This window comes from Homo sapiens, chromosome 6 (assembly GCF_000001405.40).
Source record: "Homo sapiens chromosome 6, GRCh38.p14 Primary Assembly".
Taxonomy (NCBI): Eukaryota; Metazoa; Chordata; class Mammalia; order Primates; family Hominidae; genus Homo; species Homo sapiens.
The window spans coordinates 23,597,997-23,610,861 of NC_000006.12; the positions used below are offsets into that span (position 1 = coordinate 23,597,997).

Genomic DNA, 12,865 nt, shown 5'->3' on the forward strand with positions numbered 1-12,865 from the left:
GTGATAGACTGGATTAAGCAAATGTGGCACATATACACCATGGAATACTACGCAGCCATAAAAAAGGATGAGTTCATGACCTTTGTAGGGACATGGATGAAGCTGGAAACCATCATTCTCAGCAAACTATTGTAAGGACAGAAAACCAAACACCACATGTTCTCACTCATAGGTGGGAACTGAACAATGAGAACACTTGGACACAGGGTGGGGAACATCACACACCGGGGCCTGTCCTGGGGTGGGGGAGGGGGGAAGGGTAGCATTAGGAGATATACCTAATGTAAATGATGAGTTAACAGGTGCAGCACACCAACATGGCACATGTGTACATATGTAACAAACCTGCACATTGTGCACATGTACCCTAGAACTTAAAGTAAAATTAAAAAAAAAAGCCATTCTAGTATCATGTTAGCATTGTCTCCTGGGACCCCTGCATGGATGTTAATCCTGTCTCAAGGAAACTGTTCACTTTGATCAAGTTTTCTCAGAATACAATTCCACATGCATTCTCCTGGCTCCTGCTGATCAATATGCTAGCTCCATCTGGAAGTTTCTTCAGAGTATGGCCTCTTAGCAGATCAGTACTTCCTCAGTCAAGTAGTGTTTGATGTAAACTAAGTTAATAGTCTGGTGGCCAAGAGGAGCCATGGAAGTAGATCCTGAGTGGGGCAGGAGGGTACATTTTGTCCTTAAAGGCAAAAGCCTCTGCATCATCTTCAAGCAAAGAGAAAGGGGTATTAGTCTTTAAAAATGAAGTGGATCACTTCTGCAGGCCCAGAGGAGTAAGTACCTAGAGACTCAAGAGTTTTGAATGCATTGAAACATATATTCCCATCCCAAGTCTCAGGTCACCAAATCTTCCTAGTCAACACCCTCCTCTTGACATGGATGGCTTCTTGGGAATTAGAATGCAGCATTCTCTAGAGCATAGGTACCCTCATAATTGTGTCCTGGGTCTAATCTTTAGCTTTTCCTGCCCTTTGGCTAAAAGATGAGAGCCTCATTATATAATGCCAAGATATCCTCTGGCTTTCACTCTGCTTTAAATTGGTTAATCTCCCTCATCCTAACTTCAATGCATTGATAGCCCTCAGTAACAATCATCTGATCTTATAATTCTGCATCCCTGGAACCTCTCAAATGCCCAGGATATTTCACATGCCCATGCATGTCTTACACTAATATCCCACTGCAGTTAACCACTGGGAAAAGTGTGTCCAATACACCACAACCTTCCGGGGGTTACTACTTGTTTATCTAGTGGGAATAGTATGGTCCTTGCTAGCAGGCTGGCAGATGATCCAGCTCCAAAATCTTTTTGATAGCTTATTCCCTATGACTAGTCCTGACACTAAGTATGTTCTGTGGATTTCCTAGGAAACAAATGCTGAGATGGAGATTTGCATTCAGACAGTTTATTGGGGCATGCTTTCAGAAACACCTGTTAACAGAGGGAGGGGAACAGGATTTCACAGAGGGAGGAGTGGCACTCAGGTACAGTTGCACAAGAGGTCCCAGATAATCTCACAGAAAGCTTGGAGGCTGGGATAGTCCTACAGAGATACCCTTAATAGGGCAAAGGAGATCAGAATTATATCCCCACATTGTCCAGTGATTGAATGTGGCCTACATCATGAGGGTATAATATGAGGCAAAACTGCTTTTTTTAGGGCAATTCCTGGGCTGAGAGTCATCTGTACCATTCTTCAGTGACTGGGGAAATGAGTGCTCGAGGAGTGAATTTAGGCAGTGCAGCAAAGCATCTACTTTGGCATAAAAGCAACAAGTGACATTCTGCCATAAAGACAACCAGTTAATCCGTGCTAACTGTGCCTCTGACTGATGACTATAGCCCAACAGAACTTTTACACCCAAACTGTGTATGAGATCCTCATTATGCAACCACTCAGGCAGAGCTTCCTTGACCTTTACCTTTCTAATGAATAAAGTTATCAATAACTTGCCAAAGCAGGGAATATATTCTTCTATAGCAAGAATCTTCCACAAGAATTGGAATCAGAATGTCATAAATCACCTGCAAATAATGGTTGTGAACACATCTTTATATACACTAACTACTTGGTATCTTGCAGTCCTAGTTAACATTCATGCTTCTTCTGATCTGGGAGAAATAGTAAATTCCAGGGGGTTCTAGTACAGCTGGAAGCCTTTAGCAAGACCAATGTTCCACATAATTGCAGTCATGTATCACTGAACTACAGAAACACATTCTGAGAAATGTATCATTAGGCAATTTTGTTGTTGTGCAAACATCATAAAGTATATTTACACACACCTAGATGGTATAACCTGCTACACACCTAGGCTATATGGGATAGCCTATTGTTCCTAGGATACAAACCTGTATAACATGTTACTATATTGAACACAGGAAGCACTTTTAATTTACTAGTAAGTATTTATGTATCTAAACATATCTATACACAGAAAATGTAATGTGTCAACTGCAACATTACAATGTCACTAGGTGATAGGAATTTTTTGGCTCCCTTATAATTTTATGAGACCACTGTGGTGTATGTGGTACATCATTGACCAAAATGTCATTATATGGTACATGACTATAAATGTAGATTGAGGAGAGTTCTGCCTGAAAATCAGAGTGAAACAGCATAGCATATGGCCCAAGTATCAAATTTAAAAGGATATTTGTAGAAAGAAATGTGTCTATCTGGAGGCAGTTGGCCATAAAGCCCATGAAAAGAAAATTCTGGAAGAAGTTCAAGGTTAAAATGTATGCTGCATAGACGATCCAGAGTATTAATCATAAAAATCTCTCTTCCTCTTCTATCACCTTTTACCCTTCCTTTGCAAACCTATGTAAGCTTCATATGTCTATGCTGTGAGTTTGAACTTTGAAATTTGGAATGAGTACTTCATAATGAAAAGGAAAGAAGAGCCAAGTTTTCAACTTAACATTGAGTACGTGCTTACTTGCAATGTAAAATAACTGATAACAGAAGATGGAGGAGTGGAGAGAAAAATAAAAGGATCCAACTTCGATTTAATGCAGATATTTTCACTCATGTAAAGATGTGCTTAACTCACATATGACCATTCTTTGATTTAAAAACAAACAAAATAAAACAAAAACGTTCAAACTTTCAGTGGAAGCTCTCAAACAAATGGGTTTTCCTTATTCACTACAAGCAGAGTTGGCCCTCTTATACAATGTAAAGTGAAAGGCCATTCTCTTCCCACCCATACTTGAAGAATGGATCTAGGCAACACAGCATAGCATCTACTATGGCATAAAAGCAACAAGCAAGATCCTGCAATAAAGACAGCAAATGAATTCCCTACTTTCTTACTGTGATATCATAAGAACTTAATATTTGGTCATTTGTTCTTGTTTCCTGGAACACAGCTTCTAAAACTCTTGGAATCGCCAAAGTGATAAGAGTGTCTGTTGTATGCTAATGAGATGACTGGTAGGTGGGGGCCCCTGGATAGTTTCAGAATGGGGGCTGGTTACCAGAAAGACCAAAGCATTATTAGAAGGTGGTAACTTTCAGTCCCCCAACTCACCTTCACAGTGGGGAGAGGGGCTGGATATTGACTTAATCACCAATGGCCTGTGATTTAATCAATCTTGTCTATGCAATAGAATCTCCATAAAACGCCCTAAATGACAGGCTTCTGAGAGCTTCTAGGTTGATGAATACATCAAGGTGCTAGAAAGAATCTGTGTACAGTTGCTATAAAGAAGGGCATGGGGTTGGGTAATATATGAAGAAAAAGGTTTATTTGGCTCATGGTTCTGTGCACTGTACAAGAAGCATAGCATCAGCATCTGCTTGGCTTCTGGTGAGAGCCTCAGGCTGCTTCCACTCATGGTGGAAGGTGAAGGGGAGCCTGCATGTGCAGGGATCACATGGTGAGAGAGGAAGCAAGAGAAAGAGGGAACAAGTGCTAGGCTGTTTATAAGAACTAGATCTCTTGGGAACTAATAGAGAACTGACTCACTCCCAGAGGAATCATGAGGGCATTAATCTACTCATGAAGTTCTCACCCCATGACTCAAACACCTCTTGCTAGTCTCTACTTTCCAACACCACCACAATGCAGATGACATTTCAACATGAGATTTGGTGGGGACAAGCCACAGCAGAGGGCATGGAAGCTCTGTACAATCTCCACTCCCATACCTATGGAGCTCTTCCATTTGGCTGTTCCTGAGTTGTATTCTTTATAATAAACCAGTAATAAGTAAAGCATTTTCCTCAGTTCTGTGAGTCAACATAGTAAATTATTAAATTATTAAACATGAGCAGGGGTTGTGTGAACTTCCTGAATATAAAGCCCGTTAGTCAGAAATACTGGTGATAACCCTGAATTTATGACTGGTATTTGAAGTAAGGGCAGTCTTGTGGGACTGAGCCCTTAATTTTTGGGATCTGATACTGACTCCAGGTAGACAGTGCCGGAATTGAACTGAATTATGACACACCTAGCTGATGTCAGAGAATTGGAGAAATGTTGTTGGAAAAGTCACCATGCATTTAATGTCAGAAGTATTGTGAGTAAAAACAGTTCCTTTTTACTCTCAGAAGATGATGTCAAGTTTATACAGTAATAACCAAAAAAAAGGTGGTAGACTGGAATTTCCTCAATTTCTTGTCATGAAACCTCTTTCCCACATGTTATATAAAGCTGTTCCTTCAGCTATAAAATGCCAATCTTTCAGCCTGTGACCCATAACTCATCTCCCTCAAAATTTTCCTAAATTTGGTATGTGCTATTAGTTATGTATTTTCTTTCCTGTTCTTTTGTCCTCTTCCCCCCACTCTCTCTCTCTTTCTCTCCTGCTCCGCTAGAACTTTTTAATCAGCAAATTAACATGATATCCTCTCTAAGCTCACGCAAACACACACACACACACACACACACACACACACACACCCTCTCTCTCTCTCTCTCTATCACTTCACTTTCTCTTTCTTCCTCTTTCAGATATCAACTCTTCAGATTCAAACTATAGCAAATCAAAGATAAAATAGCCTAAAATAAGCTGGGAGGAAAAATATCTTGCCTGTAAAAAATAAGAATTACATTTGATTATCCTAATAAATCATGAAAGCAAGGAGGGAGTAGACTAAAATATTTAACGTTGAGAGAAAAAAGCTACCAACACAAAATTCTGTACTCCGTGAAATTACCCTTAATAAACAAAAATTGGGAAAATTTGTTCCCAGTAGACCTGCCTTGCAAGGAATATTTTTAAAAGTTTGCTAAAGAAAAATAAAATAATATAGGTCAGCAACTACAATATACATGAAGGAAAAGAGAAGAGAAGGAATAAAGAAAACAAAAACTTAAGTTTTGATTCTTAACTGATCTAAAAGATATTAGTTTGTTCTAAATGATAATGTCAACATAATATTGATTATATATGTTTACACATACATAAATATATATGCTTACATATAAGTGAAAAGAATGAAAGCAATAATATAAGGGATAGGAGAGAGGAAGTAGAAATGTTTAGTTATGACAGAGTATTTGCATTACATGTACAGAGGTATAACACTATTTGAGTGTAGACTTGGATTCATCGTAAATGTGTATTGCAAACTATAGAGCAAACATTAGAGTCAAAAAAAGAAATGAAACTGACATGCCAAGAAAGGAGATAAAACAGAATTATATAAAATGCTCAATTAAAATCTCAAAAGGCAGAAAAGAGTGGAACACAACAATAGGAACCAAGAACAAAGGCAACAAATAGAAAATGTGGTGGATATTTATCCAATTATATCAATGATCATTTTGAACATCAAAGGTCAAAATGATAACTTAAAAGACAGAGAGTGTCAGAGTGGATCAAAAAATAAGACGAAGCCTATGTTGTCTGCAACCACTTTAAATATAAAGGCACATATAGATTAAAAGTAAATTAATGAAAAAAATGCACCATGCTAATACCAATCAAAAAAAGCAGGAGTAGTTACATTAATTTAATACAGAGCAGACTTTAAAATGAAAAATATGAGGGATTAATAATGGCATTACACAATGATAAATGATAATGGCATTACACAATGACATTACGCAAAAGATTGTTATGTCTTCTGTTATGTCAGAAGACATAACAATCCTTAACATGTATGCACCTGACAACAGAGCATCAAACTAAATGAGCAAAAACTTATAAACTTCAAGGAGAACAGCAGTGAAAATCATTAAAGACATAATTGAACATTATTAATCAACTGGATTTAATTGATATCTACAGACTACATCATCCAACAACAGCAGAAACACACACACACATTTTTTTTCAAGCTCTTACGGACAACACTCCTGGGAGACAACATCCTGGGTCATAAAAGAACACCTGAACAAATTTTCAAAAATAATGTACAAACAATATCTGCCCTCAGAACACAATGAAAATAAACTAAAAATCAGTAACATACATGTAACTGGAATTCCCAAAATACAGAGAGATTGGACAACACTCTCATAAATAACACATGGGCCAAATAAGAAACTTCAAGAGAAAATTTAAAATATAAAGTAAATGAAAATGAAAATATAACTTATTGCTGTTTAGGGGATGTGGTAAAAGCAGTGCTTTGAGGAAAATTTAGAATATTAAATGAATATGTTAGAAAAGAAGAAAGATCAGATATCAATAATGTATGTTTCTACCTTAAAGAACTAGAAAAAGAAAAGCAAATTAAATCCTAGTAAGAAAAAGAAAAGAAATAATAAAAATTGGAGCAGAAATTATTAAAATTAAAATTAGGAAATCAATAAGAAAAACAAGTGGAATCAAAAGCTATTTCTTAGAAAAATTCAATACAATTAATAAAACTCTATTCTGGCTAACTAAGGAAAACCAGAGAGGACACAAGTTATTAGTATCAGAAATGCAACACAGAACATCACTACAGATCCCATGGACATTAAAAGAATAATCAAAGAGGATTATAAACAACTTTGTTCCCACAAAGTTGATAACGCAGATGAAATGGGCCAATTCCTTGAAAGATGCAATCAGCCAAAATTCACAAAATAATTTAAATATTGTCTAAATAGGCCTATAGCTAGTAAATAAATGGAATCAACAATTAACCTTCCAAAGCAGAAAGTTCCAGGCCAATGAGTTACTGATTAATTGTATCAAACAATTGAAGAATAAAGTATATGATTCTCCACAGTCTCTTCCAGACGGTAGAAGCAGAGAGAATACATCCAAACTCATTCTATGAGAACAGCATTACCCTAGTGCCAAAACCAGGCAAAGTCATCACAAGAAAAGAAAACTATAAACCAATATATCTCGTAAAAATGGATACAAAAATCCTCAACCAAATATTAGCAAAAGGAATCCAACAATGTATAAAAACAATTATACACAGTGACCCAGTGGGATTTATCACAGGTATGCAAGGCTGGTTCAACATTCAAAAATCAATTAATGTAATCCATCATATCAACAGGCTAAAAAGGAAAAAATCCACATGATCAAGTCAATAGATGCAGAAAAAAATTGACAAAATCCAAAGCAATTATGAAAAAAACTCTCAGTAAACTAGGAATAGAGGGAAACTTCCTCAAATTGATGCACATTATCTACAAAAAAAAATGTAGATAACATCATATTTAATGGAAGGCAACTAGAAACTTACTCTCTAAGATCTATGACAAGGATTATAACTGCTTTTATTACTCTTAAACATTGCACTTGAAACCCTAGCTAACAAAATAGGGCAAGAAAAGTAAATAAATGTATATGGATTGGGAAGGACGAATAAAGAATAAAATAAAGAATAAAACTATTTTTGTTTAAAAATGACGTGATTACCTTTACAGAAAATTGGAAGAAACAGATTTAAAATTTCCTGGAAATAATAAACAATTATAACAAGGTTTCAGGGTACAAGATTAATATACAAATGTCAACCTCTTACCTGTACATCAGTAATGAACAAGTTGTCTTAGTCTGTTTTGTGTTGCTCTAACGGAATACTCTTAGCTTCTGGTAAGGGCTTCATGCTGCATCTTAACATAGTGGAGAACTGGAAAGAAAAGCAGGCATGCCAAAGGTGTAAAACACAAAGTGCAACCTTGCTTTATAACAACTGGCTCTTGGGAAAACTAACCCAGTCTCAAGAGAACCAACCCAGTCTTGCAAGAAAGACATTAATCCACTTTATTGACATAATTATTTCTTAAAGGCCTCACCACCTCTCAATACCATTACAATGGCAATGAAATTTCAACATTAGTTTTGGTGGGGACAAACCCCATCCAAATCATAGCATGAGATAAATATTTATAAGCTGGACTTCATTAAAATAAAATCTTCTGCTCTGCAAAAGACAATGTCAAGTGATTGAGAAGACAAGCCACAGACTGAGAGAAAATACTTGAAGAAGACACGTGATAAAACACAAAGAGCTCTCAAAACCCAACAGTAAGTAAATAAACAACCTGATTATTATTTGTTTTTCTTGTGACAGAGTCTTGCTCTGTCACCTAGGCTAGAGTGCAGTGGCATCATCTCAGCTCACTGCAACATCCACCACCTGGATTCAAGCGATTCTTGTGACTCAGCCTCCCGCGTAGCTGGGACTACAAGTGTGCACCACCATGTCCAGCTAACTTTTGTATTTTTAGTAGAGATAGAGTTTCACCATGTTGGCCAGGCTGATCTCAAACTCCTGAACTCAACTGATTTGCCAACCTCAGTCTCCCAAAGTGCTGGGATTACAGGGGTGTGAGCCACTGTACTGGGCTTAACAACCTGATTTTTAAAATGGGCCGAAGACCATAACAGAAACCTCAACGAAGAGGATATACAGATGGCAAATAACCATATGAAAAGATGCAGCACCTCTTATGTCATCAGGAAAATGTGAATCAAGATGACAAGATATCTCTACACATCTATTAGTATGGCCAAAATCTAGAACACTGATGACACCCAATATTGGCTAGGATATAGAGCAACAGGAACTCTCATTCATTGCTGGTGGGAATGCAGAATTCTACAACACTTTGTGGGGATTTTTTATTGTTGTTTTTTTAAAAAATTATTTTTAATTTTTAGAGACAGGGGCTTGCTACGTTGTTCAGGCTGGAGTGCAGTGGCTACTCACAGACACAATTATAGCACATTACAGCCTCAAACTTCTGGGCTTAAGTGATCCTCCTGCCTCAGCCTCCCAAGTAGCTAGGACTATAGTATGTGCTACTGTGCCCTGTGCAGCCACTTTGAAAGACAGTTGGGTAGGGTCTTACAAAACTAAACTTACACCTACCATAAGGTCCAGCAATCAGGCTCTTCACTATTTATCCAAAGGAGTTGAAAACATATGTCCACACCAACACCTGCACATGGATGTTTATAACAGATATTTTTTTTTTTTGAGACGGAGTCTTGCTCTGTTGCCCAGGCTGGAGTGCAGTGGCGCGATCTCGGCTCACTGCAAGCTCCGCCTCCAGGGTTCACGCCATTCTCCTGCCTCAGCCTCCCGAGCAGCTGGGACTACAGGGGCCTGCCACCAAGCCCGGCTAATTTTTTTGTATTTTTAGCAGAGACTGGGTTTCACTGTGTTGGCCAGGATGGTCTCGATCTCCTGACCTCGTGATCTGCCTGCCTCGGCCTCCCAGAGTGCTGGGATTACAGGCGTGAGCCACCGCGCCTGGCCTATAACAGATTTATACATAATTGCCAAAACTTTTTAGCATCCAAAACTTTTTAGCATTCTTTAGTAGATAAACAAACTGTGGTACATCTACACAATGATATATTATTCAACAATAAAAGGTAATGACCTATCAAGCCACAAGGAAACATAGAGGAACACTGAAAGCATATTGCTAAGTGAAATAAGTGCATCTGAAATGAAGACATATTTTATGATTTCAACCATAAGACACTGTGGAAGAGCCAAAACCAAAGAGAAAATGAAAAGATCAATGGTTGCTAAGGATTTGGAGAAAGTGGGGAGGATCCAAGAGATGAAGCATAAGGGATTTTTAGGATAGTTAAACTATTCTGATACTTTTCTTTTTCTTGTTTGTTTGTTTGTTTTTTTTTGAGACAGAGTCTGGCTCTGTCGCCCAGGCTGGAGTGCAATGGCATGATCTCAGCTCACTGCAACCTCTGCCTCCCAGGTTCAAGCAATTCTCCTGCCTCATCCTCCCAAGTAGTTGGGATTACAGGCACCCTCCACCACGCCTGGCTGAGTTTTTGTATTGTTAGTAGAGACGGGGTTTCACCACGTTAGCCAGGCTGGTCTCGAGCTCCTAACCTCAGGTGATCCACTCGCCTTGACCTCCAAAAGTGCTGGAATTACAGGCGTGAGCCACTGTGCTTTTAATGGTGAATATATGTCATTATATATTTGACAAAACTCATAGAATGTACAACAGAATGAGTGAACTCTAATGTAAACTATGGACTTTGGTTAATAATAACCTATCAGTATTGGCTCATCAATTCTAAGAAATGTACCATTTTAGGTATTAATAACGAAGGTAATATGAGGACTGCATTCTTTCTGCTCCATTTCTCTGTAAACTTCAAACTGCTCTAAAAAGTCCATTAGTAATACATACGGAAAACATAGATATTATAAATAGTCTTTAGTTACTGCAGGGAAAAAAATAAGAAATTCCTTACCATCTTGCATCAGGGTTGTTGTGGTCTAAACGGGCTTCATAAATTAGTTGCATATTGAGTCTGAACCTTGAACAACAGATGTAGAAGGAGTCTGGAGGAAACAAATTATAATAAAAATATTGGCTAAAAATAAAAGTAATATCTTCATTATTCTCTATGTTAGTAAATAGATCAAAAGTAGGATGCTGAGAATTTTGTCATTAATTCAATTTCAGATGATAGTTAAGTTTCCTAGTAGCTGTCCTTGACCAAATTTCTCTTGCTCCTACTGAATTCTTTTGTAAGATGGGTGTACAGAGGCTTAGCAGCTGTTACTGTATGTCAGGAAGCAGCTTTATAACTCTGCCTCCCAATGAAATAAATACAAACCATAGGTTATAGAAGCTCCAGTTCTAACATCAGTGGTATGTGCTGGGAATGCTATAATGGCTACCACCTGATATATGCAGAGGGAAAGCAAAAACGAAAAATGTTCTGTGCACCTCCTGCGTTTCTGAAAAATGATAGCTTTCCCGCAAGACATATGGAAACAACTGCTTTCCCGAATATGTAATGTCTCAGGGTACAGACGAAGCCAGTCAGCTTGACAGATAACAGTGAGGAGAGAAATATATGAACATTTCTCTTTGGGCCAAGAAGTAATAATGTGTCTTACTAGAGTTACTGCCTCTATTAAAACTAGATACAGGATATTAATTGTATTACACAGGAGTTCAGAACAAGGGCTAGAGCACAGCTCCATAACAGCATGGAAACTGTCACTTCCCAGTTTAGCCTTCTCTAATTAAGTCCCAGTGGGGTCTCCTGTTCATTTCAGTAATGTGCACTTCTCAGGATAAATGATATCTAAATGCATAAAAAAACCCTGCACCTAAATTGGTCACCAATTCAAATTCTTACTAGACGGCAGTGACTGCAAATTGTTATACACACCTCCCATGTCTGTTTGTTTACAAGTATGCATTTGCCAGTTACTGGGCTCTCTCTGCCTCTTCCAAGCAGAACATCACTATAGTAAGTCCTCAAAGGGTAACCCAGAACCAAACACCAGCTATGTGGAGCTACATAGAAAATTCAGTCTGAGAGGATCCAAAACTAGAATGGTAGTTTTTTGTCAGTCATTTTTGCAGTATTCAATTTAGCTGGTTTGAGGGGAGCCTCTTTTCCTTGAAAACTTTCAACCAAGTTTAACATTTTTTCTTTGAAGATTCATGGAGCATTGAGAGAGAACGCAAATGTGCACATTGTGCGGGTGTCCTTACAAAGCTTCACGTCTCCACGCAACTGTGCCTACCTTTGTCTGTTGTGTTTTCATTTCTCTTCCCACTTTTAATGTGAATCTTGTTTTCTTTCTCAACCCAGGTACTCAAATACCCTTTAGGACTCATTTCTCCTTTCCTGGACCTTCTCTGACATTATTACATTTCAAAAGACAGGAAACAAACAAAACTGTGCCTCAGATTGAAAACCACAAAAACTGGTTATATCATATTATAGTGGATATTTATTTTCTTTTTTTCAAATCTTGAAGTCCCAAAAGTCAGGTAGAAATTACATTTTTAATTAAAAAAATCCATGAATTTAGACACAGAATTAAGGTTAACTAATTAGATGATAGAGAAAGACTGTCAGTTCCAGCATTAAGTAATCTACAAGGACTGACTTAATAACTGTGATGTATAATTGGGGCCATATCTGCCTTGAGCCAGTGGTGAATTGCTGATCTAAAAGGAAAAGTCGCAGACCCCATTCACCTGGACATTTTCATTCCCCAGAGCCTTTGACTATGTCCCTGCTGCATTATTAATAAAACAAGTGTGTCCTAGGAGTCCATCTATTTTACTATGGTATTATTCCATAGGGTGGTGTCCTAGGTTAATAAACCCTCATTAACAATTGCTAGCAGAACCCCTCAAGCTTTCCAGTGATTCATTTTACAATAATGGAAAGAACATCAGAATTTACCCCCATATCCAATTTCAAATGCCCTAAAGCAAAGAATAAGAGGTTGGAAACACAAAAAGTTATCTGCTGTCTTTTTGCAATGTCAAAAACATAATCATTCTAGGGGTCACTGTTAGTTACTGAATAACCTGTGTAGGATGAAAAGTGTGGCCATTTTAAAAGTGCATATTATTTTCTCATCTTGTGGAACACACCATTCTATCATATAGCTGATGGGAAGTATCTATGCTTTCT

General features: G+C 37.8%; 1 long non-coding RNA gene across 2 annotated transcripts in view; it reads right to left on the minus strand.

Annotated features, from left to right (window-relative positions):
• Positions 1–12,865, minus strand: part of LOC105374976 (uncharacterized) — a 289,589-nt gene that overhangs the window by 261,251 nt on the left and 15,473 nt on the right. Inside the window, exons 2-3 of one of the 2 annotated variants that reach the window (XR_001744046.2) lie at positions 10,667–10,757; positions 7,947–8,054 (exon numbers count right to left, since the gene is read on the minus strand). This is a non-coding gene — a long non-coding RNA (uncharacterized LOC105374976). Of the gene's footprint in view, positions 1–7,946; positions 8,055–10,666; positions 10,937–12,865 lie in introns of those variants that run through there. The other variant, XR_007059501.1, reaches the window with a different exon arrangement.